The sequence below is a fragment of the Homo sapiens genome, chromosome 1, assembly GCF_000001405.40.
Source record: "Homo sapiens chromosome 1, GRCh38.p14 Primary Assembly".
NCBI classification, from domain to species: Eukaryota; Metazoa; Chordata; class Mammalia; order Primates; family Hominidae; genus Homo; species Homo sapiens.
Window position 1 is genome coordinate 154567721 of NC_000001.11, and position 25036 is coordinate 154592756.

Genomic DNA, 25036 nt, shown 5'->3' on the forward strand with positions numbered 1-25036 from the left:
CCAGCCGGGGACCCCCCTTTTTTTTCCTGGGACCCAGCGTTTCCGCCTCCGGGGCGCAGACTCCTCCCCCTCACCGTCCCAATTGTATTCCCTGGAAGAGCAGCCGGAAAAGCCTCCGCCTGCTCATACCAGGATAGGCAAGAAGCTGGTTTCTCCTCGCAGCCGGCTCCCTGAGGCCCAGGAACCACCGCGGCGGCCGGCACCACCTGGACCCAGCTCCAGGCGGGCGCGGCTTCAGCACCACGGACAGCGCCCCACCCGCGGCCCTCCCCCCGGCGGCGCGCTCCAGCCGGTGTAGGCGAGGCAGCGAGCTATGCCCGCGGCATGGCCCGGCGCTGCGGCCCCGTGGCGCTGCTCCTTGGCTTCGGCCTCCTCCGGCTGTGCTCAGGTAAGGGAAAGACGGGCACTGGCCAGGTTCTCCTACCCCAGCCAACGGCCCAAGACTCGCCGCCCTCTGACTCACCCCTGCTAGGCCGGAAGGTGGAAGAAGGGATTCCCTAGAGGTGGGGGAGTCTGCTGGAGGTTAGGGGAGAGCCCCCCGGGACTGCAGAGAGCACCTGGGAGGCTGGACTGGGAACGAGACATACTCGAAGGAGTAAGTGAAGCAAGAAAGAGATGGAAACCTGGCCAGCGGTGGTAGGGGTGGTGCAGGCACAGAGAGCAAGGAGGCAGGGGATCTCCCCAGGCGTCCTGGGGTGGCAGGAGGCCGGCTCTGAGGGCGCTAAGATGCCATCTGACTTTTTGTGAAACATTATCTCAAGAAAGGTACCTGGACCAGCACCCCTCCCCGGGCTCCCCATCGTTTCCCATCCCCCACATTGGGCTCCAGATTCTCGTCACCCCTCAGGGGCAGAGAAGGGGAGAAAACGGAACGGACTTTTCAACCCTCCTGTAGGGTGGGACAGGAGGCTTGGAAGGGAAGAAGCTCTGCCAGGCTGAGGACTAGGAAGGAACTCTCTGAGGGGATGGGGAGGGGTGTGTTCGTGCAGAGTTGCAGAGGGGGATGCAGTGTGCCGGGGAGGGGCAGGTACAAAGGGAATGCACAACTGAATGAGCTTTCCACACCTACAGGCCACCTCTAGGGGTGGGCTGCTGTGTGTGTGAAACTTGGGGCTACATATATGCCTGACCCACAGCTTAGGCAGCCCAGCTATTCCACTCCAACCCAGTGCCTTTAGGGAGAGGGGAGGATGGCATCGTGACCACAGTCACATGTCATTACGTGAGGCACATAATGTCATTTGCACATGTAAATGGTGAACGGGAACAGTTATTTGTGTCCCACCACACATACACTTTCTCCTCAATCGGCAGGAGAAAGGATGTGTGTGGTGGGACACAAATAACTGGGACAAATAACTGTTCACCTTCACTGCCCTGCTAAACCTCCCTTGAGTCATAGGTATTTGCTGGGGAAGCCATGGAAGCAGAAATCTCAAACTGCCCTCTGAGACTTTGGGGGAAGAGCAGGTCTCCATGAATCCTTGCAGAGTGGGTTCTTAGTCTCAAGTCATCTCTGTGGAGCTGTGTAGACTCTTTGGTCAGTGGTCTCAGAGAGGGGCTTTTCTATGAAGACATTAATCTGGGGCCTCCCTGGGGTTAATCTAAGCATTTTGCAGTATCCTTAGGGATGTAGGGAGATACTGGTTGGGCCTGGATTGTCCCATTTGCCTGGGGAGGGTGGGATGCTGGGTGGGCTCTCCTTGCCTGCTTACTTTCGTCCTGCCTTTCCCCTGCCCAGGGGTGTGGGGTACGGATACAGAGGAGCGGCTGGTGGAGCATCTCCTGGATCCTTCCCGCTACAACAAGCTTATCCGCCCAGCCACCAATGGCTCTGAGCTGGTGACAGTACAGCTTATGGTGTCACTGGCCCAGCTCATCAGTGTGGTGAGTAGAGGTCCCAGGCTCTCTGCCCAGCTACTGAAATCAGCCCCGCCAAAATGTGTTAATGCTTGTGTGCTTCCTCCCCTGGTGTTTCCAAGGCTTGGGGAGGTGTGAGAGGGACCCTGGGTGGTGGCAGTGACCCCACAGGCTTAGGGGCCTTCTCGGCAGCCTCTCTTCCTCCCTGCAGCATGAGCGGGAGCAGATCATGACCACCAATGTCTGGCTGACCCAGGTAAGCGTAAGTGCTCTCTTCCACCCACACCCCTGGCCTTCTCTCTCCTCCTTTTTCCCCATGTGCTTTTTTCTTTCTTAATCTCTCAAAACAGGCAGAAAGGTATAGAGTTTGGAGTCCTAAACAATTGGATTTGAATCTTGGCACTCACCAGCCTTGTGACTTTAAACATATTAAACTCTCCAAGATTCATTTTCTCATTTGTAAATGTAGATTCTAATACTGTACCTTGGCCTAGCTGTGCAAATTAAATGAGAAAGTACCACATGAGCCATACCTGATGGGCAGAGAAGTCACTGTGGGGAAGAGGCTGGCTTTTAAAAGGTCCCTCAAGCCATATGGGCCCCCTCTAGTTCGTTTCCTTAACCTTGAGCCCCACCCAGGGCACAAGTTGGTACTGCCTCCCTCTCTCATTTCCCAGGAGTGGGAAGATTATCGCCTCACCTGGAAGCCTGAAGAGTTTGACAACATGAAGAAAGTTCGGCTCCCTTCCAAACACATCTGGCTCCCAGATGTGGTCCTGTACAACAAGTAGGTGCAATGGGAAGGTTGGGGGAGACCATTGGAGGGCTCAGGGAGGGAAGGGGTTCTGGGGAAAATAAGAGAAATTACTTATGCTGTGGGAGGGGAGGGACTTATAATAGATATGTAGTCACTACCTAGACAGACAGACCCAGACCAGTGAGGTACAGCGTGGACAGCCAAGGTGACCTGGGCAATGACCAGCCCACTCCCAGCCGGTTAGGACTCCCAGTATGTATTTGATGATGTGGTGGGGATACAAACAAGTATTGACAGCCCCCAGCGCCTCAACTGATTCAGGAACAGGCTTTCCTGGAAGCCTGGGAAGGATCAAAGAACTTTAAGGTCCCAGTTTCTCCTCCAGGTTCTATCCTGTCTCCTGCAATAATCCATCTTATCTCTAGGGTACAAAGCCACCTTCCTCAACTGATGGGACCATGCCCTGTCCCCTTCCATTGCTTGGGGCTCCTCACTCTGGCCTCCTGGCTCCCCTGACTTCTCCACCCTCATGAGGATCAACCAGCTTATACAATGTGTGACAAGTAGCAGATGTGTCCCCTTCCTCCACCCACCACCCCCTTCTACCTGCAAGGTGTCACACAGGCCTTCTGACCAGGACACTTCTTCTGGTCACTAACCTTCCCCCCCCTCCCCATATCCCCTTCTTGCTCAATTCCACCTCTCTATACTCCTGGATGGTTACTCTCAGATCTGGGTGTCCCCTCCCCATGTCTCCCTCTGGTTTTGCTCTCCTCCCATTAGGGGCTGGGTTGATGGGTAAGGAGGAAGGAACGCTTAGGCCAGGGCTGACTGTGCCCATCCTTTGGCAGTGCTGACGGCATGTACGAGGTGTCCTTCTATTCCAATGCCGTGGTCTCCTATGATGGCAGCATCTTCTGGCTGCCGCCTGCCATCTACAAGAGCGCATGCAAGATTGAAGTAAAGCACTTCCCATTTGACCAGCAGAACTGCACCATGAAGTTCCGTTCGTGGACCTACGACCGCACAGAGATCGACTTGGTGCTGAAGAGTGAGGTGGCCAGCCTGGACGACTTCACACCTAGTGGTGAGTGGGACATCGTGGCGCTGCCGGGCCGGCGCAACGAGAACCCCGACGACTCTACGTACGTGGACATCACGTATGACTTCATCATTCGCCGCAAGCCGCTCTTCTACACCATCAACCTCATCATCCCCTGTGTGCTCATCACCTCGCTAGCCATCCTTGTCTTCTACCTGCCATCCGACTGTGGCGAGAAGATGACGTTGTGCATCTCAGTGCTGCTGGCGCTCACGGTCTTCCTGCTGCTCATCTCCAAGATCGTGCCTCCCACCTCCCTCGACGTGCCGCTCGTCGGCAAGTACCTCATGTTCACCATGGTGCTTGTCACCTTCTCCATCGTCACCAGCGTGTGCGTGCTCAACGTGCACCACCGCTCGCCCACCACGCACACCATGGCGCCCTGGGTGAAGGTCGTCTTCCTGGAGAAGCTGCCCGCGCTGCTCTTCATGCAGCAGCCACGCCATCATTGCGCCCGTCAGCGCCTGCGCCTGCGGCGACGCCAGCGTGAGCGCGAGGGCGCTGGAGCCCTCTTCTTCCGCGAAGCCCCAGGGGCCGACTCCTGCACGTGCTTCGTCAACCGCGCGTCGGTGCAGGGGTTGGCCGGGGCCTTCGGGGCTGAGCCTGCACCAGTGGCGGGCCCCGGGCGCTCAGGGGAGCCGTGTGGCTGTGGCCTCCGGGAGGCGGTGGACGGCGTGCGCTTCATCGCAGACCACATGCGGAGCGAGGACGATGACCAGAGCGTGAGTGCCGCAGGCTGGGACCCCGGGCGTGAGATATGGGGTCTGCCAGGGCCCGGGTATCTGGAAAGCAGCGGCGTTCTATAGACATGCAGAGGTAGTAGGAGTGTAGGGGAGGAAAATGTGAGTCAGGCCTGTGTTGCGGGCCTGGGTGCTGGCTAGGGCCCTTCTGGGTTGGCTTCCGGGAGATTGTGCGGCCTAAATTGGAGTCGGTGGAAGATGACCTTGCTGCTTCCTGAGGGCTAGCACCCAGGGCAAAATGCCTGAGCTGGGGCATCGTTATATGGGCAGGGAGGCCTGAAACACGAGGAGGCCCTTTAGGGTTGGCAGCCAGCCTGTGGCCGTGACCCCGAGAGTCCCTCCCCACCCCCCGCTGCTTGCATGCCCACATCCAAGTTGTTAACCTGCAGCTCTTAGCACAAGTGATGAGTCTTTTGTGCACCACACAGGCAGGAGGGGGCAACATTGAGGACAGTAGGAGTGGTGTGTATTGGGGGAGGGGTGGCGTTGGTGGCGGGGTTAGAGATTCCAGGAGCCTGCTTGTGGTGGAGAGCATGGAGTCCTAAATCAATATCCCTGCTCTTCTGAGTCCCAGGGGATGGCCTCCTGAAATATTTATGGAGATGGGGGTGGGTGAAGGGGAAGGCTCCTTGGCCCCTTCCTCAGGCTTTCTGCATACCCGGCTTTTGGCTTCTTCTACAGGGTTCCCTGAGAGCTTCTTTGAGACTGAGCCAAGAGTTGGGGGGAGATATGATAGGCTGACATCCCCCCGACCCCGCACTTTGGGTAGGGGCCGGCCCCACCCTGTGGTCAGTCTCTGGCTACCTGGCTGGTTCCAGGCTGAGGCTCAGCTGTTGCCATGGTGACTGGCCAGGTTTCCTCTAGGACAGCTGCCATTCTGGCTGGGGGATGAAGAAGGGCACTGCGGTGTGGGCCTCAGAGATCTGTTTCCCTGGACAGCAGGAGATGGGTTGGAGCTGAAGCTTGGACCAGGGAGCATACACTAGAGGAGATGGGGTGGGAACCTTAGAGCCAGCTGAGGCCAAGTGGGAGATGCTGGGATTCAGGGACTCAGCAGGCTGTGGTTACCGCCTCCACCTCTCCTGCTGCAGTCATGCATGTATTGTGCATTTACCGAGCTAGGTGCTGAGGATGTGGTGACCTACTTGGATGCTTCACAGGCACCTCAAACTCAACATGCTCAAAACTGAGTATTTGGTCTACATCCTAACCACCAACTTGCTCCTCCACCAGTTTTTAGTACACGGCATCACCATTCACTTAATGGCTCAGACTGAAAACCCAGAGGGATCCTTGATCCTGTCCTTTCTCACCTCCCTCTCTGTCCAATTCATCAGAAGTCTTGTCCTGTCACAACCCCAAAGTCATTCTCAGCTTCATCTGTTTTTCAGCATCTCCATGCTAACACCCTGGTTCTAGGACATCATCAGCTCTTGCCTGGCCTAGGGCAGAAGAGTCTCCTAATAGTCTCCCTGATTCAGCTCCTGTGCTCCTGCATCCAAATAGATGTCTCCCTCACGGCTCATGCCTTTCCCTCCTTGCCCAGGTCACTGGTCACTGGCTTATCTTTTATTTATTTATTTTTTTGATATGTGTTTCGCTTTTATTGCCCAGGCTGGAGTGCAGTGGTGCGACCTCGGCTCACTGCAATCTCCGCCTCCGGGGTTCAAGCGATTCTCCTGCCTCAGCCTCCCGAGTAGCTGGGATTATAGGTTCCCGCCACCACGCCCAGCTAATTTTTTGTATTTTTAGTAGAGACGGGGTTTTACCATGTTGGCCAGGCTGGTCTCAAACCCTTGACCTCAGGTGATCCACCCGCCTCAGTCTCCCAAAGTGCTGGGATTACAGGCATGAGCCACTGCGCCCAGCCTGGCTTATCTTGTCTTAAGCAAGCCAAGCTCTTTCGTGGCCTCAGGACCTTTGCACACATGGGTCCCTCTGCCTGGGATGCCCTTTTTCTTTAAAAAAAAATCATTACAATTATTAACTTTCACTCTACTATTTGAGAGTAAATTGTAGACACTGTGACCCTTTATCCCAAATAATTCAGTGTGTCTCTCCTAAGAACAGGGACACTCTCTTGCATAACCCAGGTTCAGTGATCGACTGCTGGAAATTTAGCATTGATATCTGTATCTCATATAAATTCAACATTTAAATTTTCCCGATTGTCCCAGTGATGTCCTTTGTAGCATCACCCCCCACCCTCATCCTAATCCAGGGTCTCAAATTACATTTAGTTGTCATGTCTCTAGTTTCCTTCAATCTGGAACAGTTCCTCAGCTTTGTCTTTCATGGCATAAACGTTTTTAAAGGGACCAGGCCGGCTGAATGTCCCTCCGTGTGGGTTTGTCTGATTGTTTCTTTAACTTTTTCCTCATGCAGCTGGTTCTCTCTCACTCATCAGACCTCAGCTTAAATCTCACCTCCTCAAAAAGGCATTCCCAGACCACATTCTAAATGATATCTCCTCCTTTTATCTCAATCCTTTGTTTGCCAGTGTGGAATTTTTAAATTTGTGCTTATTTTTGCTCCACCTCCCTCAGTAGACTGTAAACCACTGGCTGCGTTTCTGTTGCTCATTTGCATCCCCAGTGTGTAGCATGGTGCCAGGTATATAACAGGCACAGTTGCCAAGCGAGTGAGTTCTTCAGCTGCTGACTAAATAAAGATGCTCAGTGGCTGTCTCCCCACCCCCTGAGCTGGCCTGGCTCCAGATAAACACGTGCACAAAGGCCCAGACTCAGGCTGGAGTAGAGCAGCTCTGAGGAGATGCTGGCCGTTTGTGCAAGCCTTGTGACTGGCTCTCAAACCCACAGACAGCATTATCTTTTTGACCGATTTGTTCACATCTGGGACCTGGTCTCACCCTCTGGGGACGTAGTGTGGTTGGATGGGGCTCAGTGTGTGATCATAAAAGGAGCCAGGCCGGCTGAGGCAGCCACTTAACTCACTAAAGCATCAGCCATTTACTTAACACTCTTGTGTTCCAGATGTTGAGATGACAAAGATGAATCAGGGTCCTTGTTTAGGAACTTGTAGCTTAGTAGGGGGACAGGCATGCAAATTGAAACAATACAGTACAGTAAATATACTGTGATGGAGACGTGTACACAGTGCAGAGGGAACCCAGAGCAGACAGCAGTTCATGCTGATCTGGGGATCAAGGCAGCCTTCAGAGAAGGTGATGTTTGATTTGGGCTTTGAAAGATATGTAGGAGTGCACCAGGTAGAGAAAGGGAGCTCAGGATTTCCAGACACAAAGGAAACCCAAAGACACAGAGATCTGGGAGGACACACTAGGGTTTGGTAGGGCTATGTTATGGGGTGGGAGGAGGAGGAGATAGGCTCATATTTGTCGTGGGTGGTCTTGATTCCAGACTGGGGAGTTTGGATGGGCCCTGAAGGCAGTGGGGCCACTGGAGGCTTTTACTAAGATCAGAGCCATGCTTTAACAAGATCATTCTGGGATCACTGCAGGAGAGGAGTGGGGTGTGTGTCTGTGTGGTGGGACCCGCTTATACTCGTTTGTCTCCCATCCTGCATCATGTGACCTGGGCCTCCTCCGTCTCCTCCATCCAGGTGAGTGAGGACTGGAAGTACGTCGCCATGGTGATCGACCGCCTCTTCCTCTGGATCTTTGTCTTTGTCTGTGTCTTTGGCACCATCGGCATGTTCCTGCAGCCTCTCTTCCAGAACTACACCACCACCACCTTCCTCCACTCAGACCACTCAGCCCCCAGCTCCAAGTGAGGCCCTTCCTCATCTCCATGCTCTTTCACCCTGCCACCCTCTGCTGCACAGTAGTGTTGGGTGGAGGATGGACGAGTGAGCTACCAGGAAGAGGGGCGCTGCCCCCACAGATCCATCCTTTTGCTTCATCTGGAGTCCCTCCTCCCCCACGCCTCCATCCACACACAGCAGCTCCAACCTGGAGGCTGGACCAACTGCTTTGTTTTGGCTGCTCTCCATCTCTTGTACCAGCCCAGGCAATAGTGTTGAGGAGGGGAGCAAGGCTGCTAAGTGGAAGACAGAGATGGCAGAGCCATCCACCCTGAGGAGTGATGGGCAAGGGGCCAGGAAGGGGACAGGATTGTCTGCTGCCTCCAAGTCATGGGAGAAGAGGGGTATAGGACAAGGGGTGGAAGGGCAGGAGCTCACACCGCACCGGGCTGGCCTGACACAATGGTAGCTCTGAAGGGAGGGGAAGAGAGAGGCCTGGGTGTGACCTGACACCTGCCGCTGCTTGAGTGGACAGCAGCTGGACTGGGTGGGCCCCACAGTGGTCAGCGATTCCTGCCAAGTAGGGTTTAGCCGGGCCCCATGGTCACAGACCCCTGGGGGAGGCTTCCAGCTCAGTCCCACAGCCCCTTGCTTCTAAGGGATCCAGAGACCTGCTCCAGATCCTCTTTCCCCACTGAAGAATTCTGCACCCTCTGGACTTCCCTCTTCTTCCTTCCTTTCTCAGGCTCAAGGTGTGGGGGGCAAGGCTGAGTATTAGGGGAGCTTCTGAGTTCTGAATCTTTGGGTGACCTGCTTGGAGTCTCAGGTCCAAATACTTGAAATCTGTGAGAAGTCCAAGTTCATGGGCTTTTGGAACTGGAAGAACTTTGTACAGCCATGGATTCCAACATAAGCCATGTTGCAGATGAAGAAACTGACCCACACGGTGAGACAAGCACAGGTGGGTCTGACTCTTCCTCCCTGCCCTGAGATCCATCTGTCGAGTGCCCTGTTTTTTCCCCACTTTGAACTGACTGGTTACTCTAAGGAAGTGAACTGAGGATGTTAGCTTTAAGCCAACCCAGCCTCTTTGTCCACAGCAGAGCTGAGGTGAACAGCTGGAACCCTGCTACATCCGTGCTGCTCCAGTCTGTTCTGCTCATGGCTCCATCCTTCTGGCTGTCACTCTTCCTCTTCCCCTTCCCAACCAAACCTGAGCAGCTTTGAAGCAGAACTTGGGAAGGACAGGGCTGCTGCTGCCAGCGACACCTCAGAAAGCATAGCCTCGGCTTCCTGCCCCATGTGTCCCTGGAAGCTGTACCCTGACTCTGCTTCCAGAGGCCAGCAGATGGTGGGTTACAGACGGGTCAGCCTGCCAAGTGCACCTGAGGGACCTGACCTGACACAAGCCATTTTGTCCCTAGAGCCCAGCTGGGACTCCTGCTTCTCTAGGCAGGGCAGAGGGAGGAGACACAGCACAGGCACAGAGCATGGGACAGGGACCCCCGAGTCTGGATTCAAGTCCTGGCCCTGCTAGTAACTCATGTGAGCCAGCTTGAGCAAGTCCCTTCATCTTGCTAGAGCTCAGCTTCCTTGCCTATAAAACGTAGGTGGCAATGCCCTCTTCCTGAGGTTGCTGGGAGGATAAGGCAGTGCTTGTGAAAAAGTCTAGCGCTGTACCTGGCACAGAGTAGATGCTTCATGAATGTTGAGTCTGACAGGCAACTGGAGCTGGTGAGAATGGGGTCCCCTGACTGTCATGCCAGCCTCCCTCCCAGGCCCACTCTTCCCCCCTCTTCCCTGAGGAAACCAAGTCTCCCTTATCAGGAAGAGCTGGGGGAGCTGGGAGGAACATTACAGGAACACCAGAGGGAGTCTAGCGGGTGGGCAGGCTTCTCTCTGCAGCCCCCTCAGCAGTTTCATTCCATTCCTGGGCTGAACCCTTGCCCTGGCCCTGCCTCCCTTCTGGGTCAGCACCTCCTGACACAGGTGTGTGCTCAGGGACCCCAGGCTCTAGTCCTGTACTGGCTGTGGAAGCCTATCACTGGGACAGGAAGCCAGTGGCTGCAGGAGACAGGCCTCAGCGCATCTCGTCTGTCAGGATGGGCTCACGGACACCTTTTCTTGGTAGCAGGGAGTGTCTCTGCACTATGGAAACTTTCCCTCTTCTAGAGCGGATTGGGAGTTGCCTGTATTATGCCTGAACCCTCCTTGAACTCATGGTCCTGGGGAAGGCGTCTTGGAACCAGAAACAGCAACAGGAAAGGAGCCTCCCTCTGAAGGGTAGGATGCCGGCCTGAGGCCCTCCCTCTTGGCTCTCCCAGGGCCTGGGCTACCCCGAGGCCCCAGCAGCTGCTGCTGTGGCTGTACTTGCTTTTAATATTTCCCATACATGGCTGTTGTCCAAGTTAAGTCACCAAATGGTGCTAGAGGGGATGGCAGAGAGCAGCTTGTCCAGCTCCTCTCCATGACCCGGTTAACACACGAGTAAACAGGCCTAGAGCTTGTCTGCTGTTTGACCTCTTTTAAGACCCGGCTGTGCTGCATCTACAAAATGAAGATGACAGAGCTAGCCGAGGTCTTCAGCAAGGAAGAAAGGGGTCAGTGTATATGAAAGGGTTACCTGGGCAGTGTCATTCCCTCCATCTCTGTACGCAGCCCTTTGGGAACCATCACAATAAGGAAGAGGTGAGGGCAGAGGTGAAGGATCCACTGCCCAGGCAAGGTGCTACCATGTGGTGGGAGAGTGTGAACCCTCAAGTGCACTGGGAAGCTTTGGGGAACCACAGTCTCTTCCACCCTTGGGTCGTGTGTCGTCCTCTTCTCTTGATGTCAGGGAAGCCCCTATGCCTCCTTCCCGTGGTGGGGCTATCTCTGCAGAGAATCGGGTGCCCAGCTTAATGCTGGGCAAGGACTGGAGGAAGCTCCAGATCTGGAGGTGGCAGAGATACTGGATGGAAACCTGGAGCAAGGGTTTGGGAGGGGAAGTGAGGAAACAGGTTGAGACTATCTCCATCAGAGATGGCAAGGCCACAGGTGATCTGAGAACTATTTTTGTCTGAAAAGAAGGCATGCACAGGCTCTCTGCTTTTGACAGGTGGCGTTGCAGTGGGAGGAAGGCAGCTTCCTGGCGGGGAGATAGAAATACTAGAACAGCTGGTACCAAGTTATTGAAAATTTAAAAGCAAACAAGACACAGCAGCCCCCAGGTGGTGTGTTCTACTGAGGAAGGCTACGGCAGAGGAAGGGCAAGACCGTTTCCCCCAATGGTCTTGAAACGGAAGAGGAAACAGGGAGGGCTCTTTGGATGGTTTGGGGACCTGGGGCTGTTTGTATCCCAGTATTAGCTCCTGTTACTAAGGGTCTGCTCTGCGCCAGGTCCTCAGCATGCGTTGTCTTTATTCCGCGTGACAATCCTATGGGAAGGGGCCTCCACCTACGTAACAGAAATGCGGCTCAGAAAGACCAAGTGACAGCTAGTGAGTAGTGCTGGGCCTGAACCCCAAAGTCCACACTCTTGCTATAGCCGCTGAGGCAGGCAGAAGAGCTCCTTGGGAGGAAAGTAAGGGGCATTCAAAGCCTTCTCTGAATCACTCCCCAAGCCAGAGTAGACCTGGTTCCAGTTGTCCCCCCCTTGTTTCCGGGCAGAGTCAGGCAGGTGTCATACCATCCCTCCCCGCCCAACCAGTGCTGGCCAGACTCCCATTCACCGACCTTGACTAGACAGCGAACAGCCACCTTTTAGTATTCATCCCAACAGGTCCAGGCGGTCAGTGTGATAGCCACGCAGTTCCTAAGGGACTGTAGGTCTAGGAATCATTAGGACACTCACTCAGCCACCCTCGATGCCCCCATCTTCCCCACACTGCCCTTGGCCTCCCCGCTCTGCACGCCTGGAGTATTTGCACTGGTCTAGCCTACTCCAGGTCAGACTCATTAGGAACTCAAGATTCTCGTAAAGAAAGTTGTTTCCAAAGTTGTCTTGTCACTCTATTTGGGGGTTGGGAGAGAGCCCGTGGGGGCCAGCGTTGGCGAATACAGGAAAAAGGGAGAATGCTGGAGAAACTGGACTCGTGAGAGCTTAAAGACATCACAAGAATCCAAAGAAAAAGTGAGTGGTGACAGTCTGCCGAATCACTGTGATTTGCTGCTTTACAAACCCACTCAGATGGAAAAGAAATGGCCAAATGACTGGGCCTGGAGTAGGCAGAGTCCAGAAAAGGCCCCCGGGAGTCCTTTGTAAAGGGCTGGGCGGAGGTGAGGACCACTCTCCTGAGGCGGGGATGGCGGGGGTTTCCTCTCACAGCCCCCGTGCTCTGGGAAGTCAAGGCTGCAGTTTGCATAAGGCCAGACCTGCAGATCTGGGCCTACATCCTGGAAACAGTATTAAATTGTGAGCCCCCTAAATGAAATGCCAGGTAGACAGCAACTGAAATGAGCTGAAGAAAATCCCTCTTGCGCTCCCTCAGGGCAGCCCTACTTCCCAGCCCACTCAGGGAGCGTCGTGGGAGGACAGTGTTGTTCCCTCTGGACACAAAGTGGCTGGGCACTTGCCTCAGGCTGAGGAAACTGTCCACTTTTCAAAAGACCTGGCACTACATTTCTGTCCATGTGGAACCGGAGCTGTCTGAGAACAGAGAGGACAGAGGCACTCAAGGTTCCTGGTACATCACAGCAGGCAGAGACAACAGCCTTCACTGTCTTTCCACTTAAAAGTGTTGGCCAGGTGCAGTGGCTCACGCCTGTAATCCCACCACTTTGGGAGGCTGAGGCAGGTGGATCACCTGAGGTCAGGAGTTTGAGACTGGGCTGGCCAACATGGTATACAAAACATTAGCTGGCCATGGTGGCGGTGCATGCCTGTAATCCCAGCTACTCGGGAGGCTGAGGCAGAATCGCTTGAACCCGGGAGGCAGAGGTTGCAGTGAGCCAAGATCGTGCCATTGCCCTCCACCTTGGGCAACAAAAGCGAAACTTCGTCTCAAACAAAACAAAACAAAAAACCAACTTCAGCTTACCCAGCAATGTAGCTCAGTAGGCAATGAATGACACCTGTGGCGTTGTGGTGTTCTGGTCCTCAAGAAATATGCCCACAAACAACATGTCACTGGCCCTTCTAGCCTCAGTTGTTCCTTCTGTGTAATGGATGAGGCAGGTTTAATTGGAACTTAGCCTCACTGTTAGGTACTTTAGATCCTCTGGTTATGATATTATTAAAGGGTCCAGGATGAGTCTTCTAGAAATTCTGATGTAAATTACAATGTGAAAAAAGGTACATTCTCTCTGAAATTCAAGATGGAGAGATAATTTGGATGTCATCTATGATGTAAAAAGAAAATGGTCTGTCTCCTAAAACTACAACCAAGCCTGTCCTGGTCCTGGCTGCAACTTTACTCCAAATATGCACATTCCTGGAAGTCAAACAGCTGGTAGTAGTGGGGTTTGGAGGAGGTAGAAAACACCCCTGAAGGAGAGCTGGAATTATGTACCTAATAGGTGATCCTCTCTCAAGGGATGTTTTCCTACTCTGGGCCTTGAAATCTTGCGTCTCAAGTCCCGTGGGACAAGATATTTAATAGTGGGCTCTGGCTGGGAGCAGTGGCTCACGCCTGTAATCCCAGCACTTTGGGAGGCTGAGGTGGACCTCACGAGGTCAGGAGATTGAGACCATCCTGGCTAACACGGTGAAACCCCATCTCTACTAAAAATACAAAAAAATTAGCCAGGCGTGGTGACAGGCGCCTGTAGTCCCAGCTACTCGGGAGGCTGAGGCAGGAGAATGGCGTGAACCCGGGAGGCGGAGCTTGCAGTGAGCCGAGATCGCGCCACTGCACTCCAGCTTGAGAGACAGAGTGATACTCCATCTCTAAATCAATCAATCAATCAATCAATCAATCAATCAATCGTGGGCTCTGCTGGGGAAGGGCCCTGCTGGGTACGTAATCAAAAGGTGCCTGATGAACCCCACCCCACCCAGACGCAAATTTACCCACAAAGGGAGGTTCTTTGAAATGGCTCCTTTCCAAAGGCTGAGGGACAGCCCTGTCCCCCACAGGTTCATGTCAGATGCCACTGGTGCTGTTATCAGAAACCCCAGGGCCACAGGTCCCTTTGTTCCCATTTTCACCTCCCCCAAGAAACCAGGACTTAAAACTTTCTAAGAATTCAGATTCTTGTTTTTTTTTTATTTATGAGGAATGTATATTGTTAAGTCACTGTTATCAAGGGACACATAAAAGCAGAATCATAAAACTGGACTGCAGCCATCATCACAGTACCCGAGTCTATGCTTGGGGGTCTTCCTCACTCTGCTCTTGGAGTCACAACCAAGACTCCAAAAAACCAACGAAGTCCCTTCAATGTGAGTAAAGGAAACAGCTTCAAGCACTGACAATTTTTACAAGTGATTATTCAAGGAATGCACAGTAGCCACAGTTCAGACAAATCAACTACAAAAATCATTAAAAAGAAGAGTAGGGAGGGTCACTGCTTATTAAAAACAAAAGACTGGACAAAGAAAGTGAAGATAACAGTGGGCAGAAGCTCTGCCTCCTCTGTCCTGTGTGACTCAGAGGGGCATGGGGGCGCAGGGATGTGCGATCTGACACGGCTCGTTTCCAGCAGATGCGTGGAATTCAGGGATGCCTCGCTCTCTTCCTACAACAGAAACTGAATACTACAGGCTTGCTAGATAAGATCTTGGGGGTGAGTGGGGGTTCTGATCTTGTGAGAGCCTGTGTTCCCAGTTAAAGAAGAGGCAGCTGGCCAGAGCTCTGCTGGAGAACCTAATGCCCAAGATGGACCAGAGAGGCCAAACAACCTGAGGACTCAGCAGGTGACAACCCTGTAGCCTGAAGAGGAGAGGGGCTGCGCTGCCTTCTGATGCTGAGAACCACAGACCTCTCTGCCCTGGATGTGGGTGCCAAGACTGATTTACTGTGCCCCCAGCAGACCCAGAGCCAGGGAGCAGGCCTCTTCCACTCCAGGAGACAGGCGCCACTTCCCTACCAGTTCCTTGGGATGCTTTGGTGTTCTGCAAAGGCATCCTTAGTCTATTTTTAGAACTTGCATTTTCTTACTTTGGTCAATTTTTGGTCAAAAGTACAGAGAGCATAGAATAAAAGCAAAGATGTGAATGTCTCTACCAGACAGAGGATGACCTAGTCAGCAGTTTGGAGGGAAATCATCTGAGGGTGCTGGCTCAGCACGTTCCCAGATGAAGGTCTGTCATCTAAAGGAGAGAGGCAGGCTCAGCTCCTGAAGGTCGCAGAGCCTCAGTAGTCCTCCTGAGTGTGTCTAGCTGACTGTTATCGAGGGACACGTAAAAGCAGCATCACAAAACTGGACTGCAGCCATCACCACGGCACCAAGTCTATGCTTGGGCTCTTCCCTGCTCTGCTCTTGGAGTCATGACCAACACTCTAAAAGCCAACAAAGTCCCTTCAACATGAGTAAAGGAAACAGTTTCAAGCACTGACAGTTTTTACGAGTGACTATTCAAAGAATGCACAGGAGCCAGAGAGCCAGACTCCACAGAGAGGCCAAAGGCTCTGAACACACGAGTCAATGTTCATGGAGGTATAGACAAAGGATTCTACCTCACAGAGTTTGAAGACAACCTGCCCTTTCACCCACAACTACTGCTTTCTATGTCAACCCTATAAAGATCAGGTCTGCGCCCTGCCCACGAGCCTACTTCTGAAGCCATCTGGAAAAATGAAAGCACTTGGATAAATGGAAAAGTATGCCTGAATTTTAAATCTGCTCAATTACAGGTTATCTGTAGCAGTTAAGAATCAACATCTATGGCATTCTTTAAAACACTCCTAATTTACATGTGACTTAGTCAACTTCCCTTGGTGTCACTGTCATGAGAGATATTACACCGGGTGGAACAGTGACGTTAAGCCAACAGGATTTTTTGCCCTTATTCTTGCTAAGTCATGATTATCTGAGCAGAGATGATTTTATACCCTCTAGGATTTGTCCCGTTGGCTAGGGTGTACGCCCAGCATTGGCGGGGAAAATATTCCTAGGAATGCTTTAGGAGAAGAGGCAGCTGGAAGCTTGGCAATATTCCAAGGCATGCCCGTGCTCCCTGGGAAGTGGTCTGTGTCATCCTGCCGGGTGAAACCTCTGCTATTGCTTGAGCAGCTCCCTTAACCCAGTCTGGCTGGTTCTAGACTTCCCAGCTGCCGGAGAAAGTGATACACTTCCAGGGAAGCAGCTTTCCTTGCCTTGCCCGCCCTGCAGCTGGCTAAAGTGCAGGATGGGAGGATGGCTGGGCATTATCTGCAGGCTCCAATCACACTTCCGTGGCACTGGGAACTGCAGTTTTCAACTCCTACCCTTACAAATGTTTCACCAAATCCTTTATGTTCACCTCTTTGCCCTCTGAGGGGGAAAAGGAGACATTCAGATCACAAGGAAAGAATCTCAGAAGGGAAAGAGGGGAAGTAGAGGGGTCTGCGTAATCCACAAATGAAATTATCAGTCCCTGACATGATCCAGAGTTGACTGAAACCTAATCAAGACCGCAAGAGGTCAGTGTAGCAAACACAAAGGGAAAGGAAATGGAAACAAATCAAAACAAAACTTTTAAGAGGAAATGGACCGCAGGTGCTCAGTGACTATGTATGCTTTGGGTAGAAAGAAAAGATAACTTCTTAGGTTTCTGCCTCTTCACTTGGGGGAAAAAAGGGGGGCCTGGCCAGACCTTGCCTAGCAATCCCAAAGAAAGCAGGATAAATGGGAACCCAAAGTTTTCAGTATCACCAATTATGGCTTAAAAAGAAAAAAAAAGGAGAAAAAAAAATCCCCTGACCATGTGATGAGGAATGCTACGACCTACCTCTCTCACACCCTAGTATGACACACCCTAATCCATCTGTCACTGGAGCATACTATACTGGGCAGAGATAAAAGTTCTTTTCCTCCTGGGGTTTGCTAATCCAGTTCCCATAGCCCATATCCTTCAGGCCTTTTTTGAAGTAGTTCTTGGCCGTCTCGTAGTCACGGGCAGCTTTCTTGGCCTCACCATAGGAGAGTCTCAGTAGATCCCTGCGGTAACGGAAGGAGCAGAGCTTCTTAAATAGAAGAAAAATGTTCTTTTTGGAGACCCGGGACAATTCATTCCGTGGCCTAGAGAAACAAAAGCACTCATTATTCACCTGGGACCTGTAAGATAAGGAGCTCACAGTGGAGACACCGTGGGAGGGGAGGCGGCTCTCAAGCCCTGAGACTGCAGAGGTATGATGCACCCTTGCAAGTCAGGGCAGAGGCTTGGTCCTCACTGCGCTCTCCTGTCTCCTTACCCATCCACAGTGCCTCTGGTACCGTCCAGGATCTCCAGGTCATAGCCATCAGCCAGACACCAGTTGACGCTTGTCTCCTTAGTCTTCCCGGATTGCCTTTTGGAATCATATATGCTGACTCTGCCAACCTAGGAATCCCAGAAGCAACGGGAGAAAGATGGAAACCTTTCAGGAATAAGATTCTGAAGCAGGGACTCAAGACTCATAGGAGAGAGGAAGTGTGGGGTCATGATCTTTCCCCTGTATTTAGGGTTCTGTTTGGCTAAGACTGAGCACCCTCTAGACATACTAACTCCACCTCGATTCAGATTAATTCCAGACTAAGAGAAGAAAAGCCCTTGGCATCCAAAAGGAAGAAAGTTTAAGTTCTTGGGAGACCAACCAATGTTGGTGGTGGGCCACTGTGGGCAATGTTCCCTTGTGGGCTACCACTGTGGGCAATGTTCCCCTTGCCCACAGTGTACATTTTTCCTCTGTTTACATGACTGCTTGAAAAGGAGGAAAATGTCAGGGAAAATAGAAGGGGGTTATAGCACCTTGGGGTGGTTGACAATAAAGGGATGTCGTAGTCCATCCTCAAATGCACTCCCATCTCTTGTCACACGACAGCAAATAGCACGGGTCAGATGCCCTTGGCTGAAAAGGTAACCTGAGTACAAAAAAGAGAAACATATATACCTGTGTTTGCACCAAATGCTGTTAAGAGGCAGAAGCATGTGGGGATTTTGGAGGTACAAGATATAGTTGTCAAGAAAGAGAAACAGCTGCCTTGTTAGGAAGCACCTTCTGACTGGGGCTACCAGGATCTTCCTACCACAGCAGACTGGACACTCAATCAATTACTGAGGAGTGAATCATGCTCACTTTGATAAGGGAGACAAAACACCTGGCAATAAAGCATGCAGTTTGGGATCTGGGCACAAGAAGGACAGACCAGTTCCAGATCCCAAGGCAGGCCCCTTACCCAATGTGACAGATTTGAGATAAATGGGCTGCAGGAAGTGGGTCAACAGTGCCCCTTGCAGGCCCAGCACGTTCCAGCGTAGGATTTTGTCACTACAGGACATGGTACGGAGTCTCTCCCCGAGCCGAATGCCATCCCACGTAGGCACAATGTCACTGGATTCCACAGGGATTGTGCCTTCTCCTGTGTGAGAGACTTGGGTCAGACCCACAGGCGCCAATGGACCAAACCACTCCCTGGCGTGGTTTCTATCCTCCTTAAGCTTGGGCCACAGGCTACATTCATTCATTCTTCACATATTTCACAGCCCCTGCTATGCGCCAGGCACTATGCTTGGTGCTGGGAAAGAACGGTGAGCAAAACCAAGTAAGATCTTTGTGCTCTTAAAACATCTATGGTGGTGAGGAGATTGAAAGGGAAGAGAATAGACACTAAACCAGTAGCCAGTACATACGGAAGAATTCCAGATGCTGACAGTGCTCTGAAGGCTCTGAGGCAGCTATGACGGAGGACCACAGGGGACACCTCCTGGGACAGCAGCAGCAGGGGAGCCCAGACATGGAGGAGGACAGCTGGAGTAAGTGTTTCAGGCACACAGGACAAAAGCAAAGGCCCCAAGGCAGCCAGCGGATTGGCTGTTCAGGCGCCTGACAGAGAGCCAGTGTGGACAGAGCATATGCGAGGGATGGGGAAAGTGGCATGAGAGGAGGCCGGGTGATCACAGCAGGTTTTGCTTGTATATGCAGTGCAGTGGGAAACCACTATCGGGTTTAAAAAAAAACAAAAAAAAATGCTTTACTGAGATATAGTTCATATGCCATACAGTTCACCCATTTAAAGCATACAATTCAGTCATTTTTAGTATATTCACAGAGTTCTGCAACTGTCACCACAGTCAATTTTAGAACATTTCATCGCTCCAAAAAGAAACCTTCTACCCATTGGCGCAGTCACTCCTCATCTCTCCAACTCTCCCACTCCTGGCCCTGGCAACCACTCATCTACTTTCTGTCTCTATGGATTTGTCTATTCTGGACATTTCATATAAATGGAATCATACAATATGTGATCTTTTGTGACTGGCTTTTTTCATTTGGCATCAAGTTTTCAAGTGCATCCATATTGTAAGCATGTATCAGCACTTCACTTCTTTTTATGGCCAAAATAATATTCAATTTATGGATATATTTGATGTTTTATTTATGAATCCATCAGCTGATGGACGTCTGGGTTGTTTCCACTTTTTTGGCTCTTGTGAGTAATGCTGCCATGAACATTCACATATTAGTTTCCGTGTGGACACAGATCTCCATCTCTCTGCAGCATATACCTAGGAGTGGAGCACCGGCTCCATGGTAACTGTGTCTATACTTTAGGGTATTTAGCAAGGTTTCAGGACCACCATGATGACTGCTGACGTGGCCTGAACGCAATGGAGTGGATGCGAAGAGACAGTAAGGAGACAGGAGAGGATAGGAGAGAAGGAGCCAGTGGACAAGGCAGAGTCAACTGCCAGCTAGACAGGAGGGGACCCCAGCATTTGGCATCCTCATCTGTCAACTCCTCAGGGCTTGGTTGTGCCGCACTCTTCATTTCCTCCCCGCTTTCTTGAGGTAATCCTATGCATTCTCATGGCCATGAAGACCCTATAGGGGGATGACTCCCATATTTCTATTTCCAGCCAAGCTCCCTCCTCTGAGCTCCACATGGGAACCCCCACCTCCTATTTGACTTGGGGATCTCCCAGATCTCCCAAACTAACACATTCAAAATAGAACCCTGATCTTACCACACAGCTCCCTGACCCAGGTCTTCCCTTTCCTGTAAACAGCACCTCTGTGCCCAGTGACTAATGGTAAAATCCTAGCAGCCTTGTAGAGACTTGGGGTCCCTGGACCTTGCAGAGCCTTTTGAGGAAAGGAGGCGGGGGCATGTATCACTCACCGTTCTCCACCTTGGTGCGGAGCTTTCCTTGTTTGGGATTCTCGAAGACAGGGTAGTGGCGGGATTCTGTGCTTTCCATAGCACGGTCGCTGCAGGACTTGTCAAAGAGGGCGCCATCTCCACACGGAGCAGTGCTGAAAAACAGGGGTGGCTGTTAAAACTCACCTGTGGGAAATCTGCAATTTCGTGGGGCTCCAAAACAGTCAGATGTGACAGAAGCAAGGGATGTTTTCTAAGGCCTACCATGGGAGACTGGAGGTGGACAGCAGTACATGTGAGTCATCTACACCTGAATATGGACCTCAAACCCACAGTGGAGTGTGGCTTATTGTATCAGGTTCGATTTACAGGCCAGGAGAGCATTTGGATACCCAATTCTAACAGCCTGGCAGGGCCCACCCTGGCAGCAACAGGAACTGTACAGACCTGATATACAGATGGAATGACACAGTCTTTTTTATTTGGAGCTTTTCTCCTCCCTTAGCAGGTTCAAATATACTATCCTTCGCAGTCTGGGAGTTGTATTTCATTAACTCACTGTAGAGAAACCTACAAAAAGAAAGTCTGGTTAGGAAGGCAGGTTCAATTCTGGGAAAAGCAGTTGTTTCTATAATCTGACCTCCAAATGAGAAAGTAAGGAAAAGTCTCAATGTTGCAGACGTTTCACAGTTTATCAGGTGGAAATTCTCCAGGGGAGACCTCAGCATTTCATAAAGCATAGTTAGCCTTTTGGGTCTCCTTCATTTCTGCTGAGGGCTCCTCGCTATGGCGGCTACAGGGATTCTAGAGCAGAGCAAACTGATTCAAGGACTACAGGAAGCTGTTGCTCCTTTCTAAGTCTCTCCCTTCATAAATTAAAGAAAAGGTGAGCTAGAGGAGAAAGCTGGCAGGGGCATCAAGGTTGTGTAGGTCCTCAAACGGAAATGGAAAGCTGCCTCATCCTCAAGGCCCTGAGGACTAAAAGGTCATTTTGTGTTTTTAGAAAAGAACATGAAGCAGCAGAGTTAGCAGAAAAAAGGACAGCATTTAAAAACAGGCCGAGCAGTGGGAGGCAGCTCAGCTCACAGAGGGGATGGATTCCATCAGACAGGTTCAAATGGACGGGTGAAAAGCAAAGGCTGCCACTGCCACATCATGACCCGTCTGTCTGAGGGGGATTCAGAGGCCGTGTCAGAGCCATGTGGGGCAGGGAACTGGAGCTCTCCACAGCCGGGCAGCCGGGCCACAGCTCTGACCTCGCTCACCTGATGAAGCCTCTCCGGGAGATTATTTCTGCATGGCAGTCATTGACAGTTTCTCCTTTTAGGCTGAGAGAATCTCCTTTCACACAGCGATTCCCTAGGAAGGTGTTTAAAACAGAAATAGAATAATGGAAGGAAACCGATGGAAAACAGGATGAAGGCTATTTGTTCTGAAAGCTTCAAGGCAGAAACAGCCTCAGTTTCTCAGATCCTAGACTCCCATATTCTCTCCTCTAGGAACTAAGAACTCATTCCTCACTCTGAATTGACTGTAGCTAAAATGAAGTCTCTTCTCCCTGCCTTGGACTTACATGCATGGACTCCAGGGGAGGATGAGAGGCACCCGCTTTCAGGCGCCATGGGAGGCGGCATGTCTCAGAGCCTCACTCACCTGTTCCCAAGCTGACGACGACACCCATGTCCTCAGAGTCTTTTTTCATAATGATGGCGGCCAGAATCTTGCGGCCGAGCAAGGAGGGCTGGAAGCTGTTAGTCAGAGTGTTGAAGCACCGGTGGCTCAGCATGGCTATCTGGTCATGGAAGGTGCTGCCAGTGAGAGGGAGCTGTGGGGAAAAGAGGCTGTGTCAGCACCACAAAGCTGAGGCTGTGTCCACCATATTCACCGTGGGCAGGGAGATCAAGCTCTACTTGTCGTGTGAGTCATCTTTTCCTTCTTACATCTAGTGTCCCAGTTACTGCTCTCTCGAGGCTAAGAGTAAAGCCTAGGAATAACTCGCATGACAGCAAGAGCCACCTCCACTTAGGAGTTAGGAGGACCCCCCCGCCCCAAAAAAGGCACCAAAAGTAGACGTCTTAACTGTCTTTGGCTGTGCTTCTGGGGACCTTGAGAGGAGGAGCATAGTTCTTCTGAGACTGGCCCCTGTCACTGGGGTTACCTCTGTGAAACCCATGCGTTCTGCCTTCTCGTTCTCCCCAATCAAGACACGGAGAGCCGCATCTGCTGCTTCCTGCTTGCCTTGCTTCTTGCTGTGTGCGCAGACGGCTGGGAACCAGCGACCCCCAACTTTTGCTTGGTAAACGAACCTTTGGGATGAGAAACAGAGAATGAAGACAAGTGCCAGACCCTGACATTGTTCCAAGGAAGGGTTAGTTTTGCTGAAGATGTGGCCAGTCTTGCAAACATATGGACCCGTCAAACAGAAGCTGTTTCTAAGGCAGCATTTCCTAGATTTTGGTCATTCATGAATCACCACATGATTTGTGCCACATCCAGGTATTACTTGGACTATTAATTAATATTTTTCTCTAAATTGACTTCTTAGAGCCAGCCATTGTGGCTCACACCTGTAATCCCAGCAACTTGAGGAGCTAAGGTGGGAGATCACTTGAGGCCAGGAGTTCAAGACCAGCCTGGGCAACATAGTAATCCCCCAGGCAACATAGCGAGACCCCTGTCTCTTAAAAAAAAAAAAAAAAATTTAGCTGGGCACGGTGGTCTGTGCCTATAGTCTCAGCTACTTGGGAGGCTGGGGTGAGAGGATCACTTGAGCCCTGGAGGTCAAGGCTGCAGTGAGCTATGACCATATCACTGCACTCCAGCCTGCGCGAGACAGCAAGATCCCCATCTCTAAAATAAACAAACAGACTCTAAAAATGTAAATATCCGTAATACTAGGTATGAAAAAAGAGATAAAAATGTAAACACACTGAAATAGGAAACTTTGTTTCACTACTGTAAATGGAAAACCAGTATCACTTGCCACATATTGAAGGTGGCTGTAAAACAGAATATGATAAAATCATGTTATAAAATTCTGACTAGATACTGTTACCTGCAAAGGCTCTGAGCCTGTCCTTACTATAAAGGAAGATTATGAAGTATGAGGAAGGCTTAACGAAATGCTAGCACCAACTTGGACTCTCTTCTTAAGCAGAAATCAGAAGGGACTACCTTTCTCCCCACAAGTCACTGTTACTTCATACACTGTCTGATTTTTAAAGCGCCCAACTCCATTCCCTCATTTACTTCCTATTAGCTCAAGGGGACTTGACCTGGAGAGGTCATTAGGTCAAGGTCGGCCTTAGGCCAGGGACCCAGGTTTTGCTGGGAGTTGTTTTTTTGACTCCTGGCAGGCTTAAGCTAACTCTGGGGTAAGGAATGGATCTTGGGCGCATGAGCTGCGCTGACAATAAAGTGCCCAAGTGGAGCAGGGAGGTGGCTTCTACCGCTCCGGCTGGTAATTTCCAAACACAGAGGGAAGAGCATGGTGGAGCAAAACAGCTTGGAAATGTACCAGACAAGGCATCAAGAATCCTAGCTTTCAACCAGATCCTAATCTACTGGCTGAGAACCCAGCTTTGGATACTCTAACTGCATATAACAGAGGCTTCAGTTTCAAGACTTAGCAGCTCAGGCAGTAAAAGGAATCAACGTTTATGTTCAACCACATGGAGTTTCTCACTGTTCCTTGATGATCCGAAGCAACTAAATGCCTTCACTCTTTTCTTTGTCCATGCTGGCAGGCCCGTGCAGGCCAGTGGGCTTAAGTTCAGAATGAGAGGGACAGTGGCATGAAAAGAAGATGGTGAAGGCGGTCAGGAGGGACAGATTGTGTAGTATCTTTACCTCAGGGATCCAGGAGAATTTCATGACTGCCCCATGTGTTTGAAAAGAATATGAACTCTTACGTGCAAAGTTTTATACTGATATATTTACATATATGATAAAGTTTGTTAATTATGCAACTAGAATCCTTTAGAGCTGTGCTATCCAATATGGTAGCCACTAGCCAAATGGGGCTATTGCCATAAGTGCCTCCTCTCAGCCTCTTTGCCAGCTCTGCGCTTCTCCCACCACAGGATTTAACAGTGTCCTTCGCCTAGAACCCTCAGTCTTTCTCTCTTCATCATCCTTAAAGTCTCAGCTCAGGCAGTACTTCTTGGGGAAGCCCTTCCCCCTCTCCTTCCTAAGTCAAACTGTGCTATAATTGATTCTCGCTGCAACTCCAGCCCTTTGGAATACTTATCAAATATGAGATCTTACATTTCTTTAGGTGACTATTGGTTAATGTTTGGTTCCTGTTCTAAAAAAAATAGAAGATACTCCATAAATAAGTGTTGAGTAAATAAAGTATAAAGATCAGTTAGGAGGCTATTGTGACAGTCTAGATGAGACAGTGGCTTGGATTAGAGTGCTGACGCTGGAGGTGGAAAGAAGAGGAAGGGATTTGGGATAGAAATTCTAAGTATAACCAATAGGACTTAAGGATGAGTTGACGAAGGAGGTAAAGGAGATAGAGGAAAAGATGATCCTCAGGTTTCTGACTTGAGCCACTGGGTAGACAGTGGTATCACTTACTAAGCTGGGAAAGACTTGGGGGAAATGAAGCGAAGGGGGCAAAACCCAAGAGTTCTGCTTTGGACATGTCAT

General features: G+C 51.2%; 2 protein-coding genes across 19 annotated transcripts in view, besides 3 other annotated features; one reads left to right on the forward strand and one right to left on the reverse strand.

Annotated features, from left to right (window-relative positions):
- On the forward strand, positions 58-12293 carry CHRNB2 (cholinergic receptor nicotinic beta 2 subunit). Of its 3 annotated transcripts, XR_001736952.3 has the most exons (7): positions 58-388; positions 1742-1887; positions 2072-2116; positions 2538-2647; positions 3469-4441; positions 8042-10465; positions 11280-12158. XR_001736952.3 is itself a non-coding variant. In NM_000748.3 (6 exons), exons 1-6 carry the CDS (start codon positions 325-327, stop codon positions 8210-8212), a joined length of 1509 nt encoding a protein of 502 aa, NP_000739.1. In that variant the 5' UTR covers positions 58-324; the 3' UTR covers positions 8213-12293. The 3 variants fall into 3 exon arrangements, 2 of the variants coding, with proteins under 2 accessions (NP_000739.1, XP_016855669.1); NM_000748.3 differs by having other exon boundaries at positions 8042-12293; XM_017000180.3 differs by lacking the exons at positions 58-388; positions 1742-1887; positions 2072-2116 and having other exon boundaries at positions 2569-2647; positions 3605-4441; positions 8042-12293.
- Positions 229-358: a silencer, noted in NCBI's record as "silent region_1363". NCBI's record gives its function as "represses an Ori minimal core promoter by ATAC-STARR-seq in GM12878 lymphoblastoid cells {active_cell/tissue: GM12878}" and the evidence as "EXISTENCE:reporter gene assay evidence [ECO:0000049][PMID:35858748]".
- Positions 7053-7347: a silencer, noted in NCBI's record as "tiled region #5811; HepG2 Repressive non-DNase unmatched - State 19:H4K20". NCBI's record gives its function as "represses a minimal TATA promoter and a strong SV40 promoter by Sharpr-MPRA in HepG2 cells {active_cell/tissue: HepG2}" and the evidence as "EXISTENCE:reporter gene assay evidence [ECO:0000049][PMID:27701403]".
- Positions 14337-25036, reverse strand: part of ADAR (adenosine deaminase RNA specific) — a 45941-nt gene continuing 35241 nt past the window's right edge. For 9 of the 16 annotated variants that reach the window (NM_001365046.1, NM_001365045.1, NM_001025107.3 and 6 more), the window contains 9 exons: positions 22464-22689; positions 22037-22208; positions 21649-21742; positions 20831-20953; positions 20405-20538; positions 18461-18643; positions 18033-18145; positions 17497-17624; positions 14337-17323 (listed from right to left, as the gene is read on the reverse strand). In NM_001365046.1, the coding sequence (NP_001351975.1) occupies positions 17086-17323; positions 17497-17624; positions 18033-18145; positions 18461-18643; positions 20405-20538; positions 20831-20953; positions 21649-21742; positions 22037-22208; positions 22464-22689 (1411 nt within the window). In that variant the 3' untranslated portion in view covers positions 14337-17085. The remainder of the gene's footprint in view (positions 17324-17496; positions 17625-18032; positions 18146-18460; positions 18644-20404; positions 20539-20830; positions 20954-21648; positions 21743-22036; positions 22209-22463; positions 22690-25036) is intronic. The other 7 variants (XM_047428340.1, XM_011509061.3, XM_047428386.1 and 4 more) reach the window with 1 other exon arrangement.
- Positions 20980-22179: an enhancer, noted in NCBI's record as "CDK7 strongly-dependent group 2 enhancer chr1:154561176-154562375 (GRCh37/hg19 assembly coordinates)". NCBI's record gives its function as "activates an origin of replication core promoter dependent on BRD2, BRD4, P300/CBP, MED14 and CDK7 cofactors, with strong dependence on CDK7, by STARR-seq in HCT116 cells {active_cell/tissue: HCT116}" and the evidence as "EXISTENCE:reporter gene assay evidence [ECO:0000049][PMID:35650434]".

Excerpts from the sequence above, each read along its gene's own strand:
- CHRNB2 (NM_000748.3), top strand. The coding sequence starts at position 325 with ATGGCCCGGCGCTGCGGCCCCGTGGCGCTGCTCCTTGGCTTCGGCCTC. Across the intron at positions 2,648-3,468 it reads GATGTGGTCCTGTACAACAA|TGCTGACGGCATGTACGAGG; the intron begins GTAGGTGCAATG and ends ATCCTTTGGCAG. Across the intron at positions 4,442-8,041 it reads GCGAGGACGATGACCAGAGC|GTGAGTGAGGACTGGAAGTA; the intron begins GTGAGTGCCGCA and ends TCCTCCATCCAG.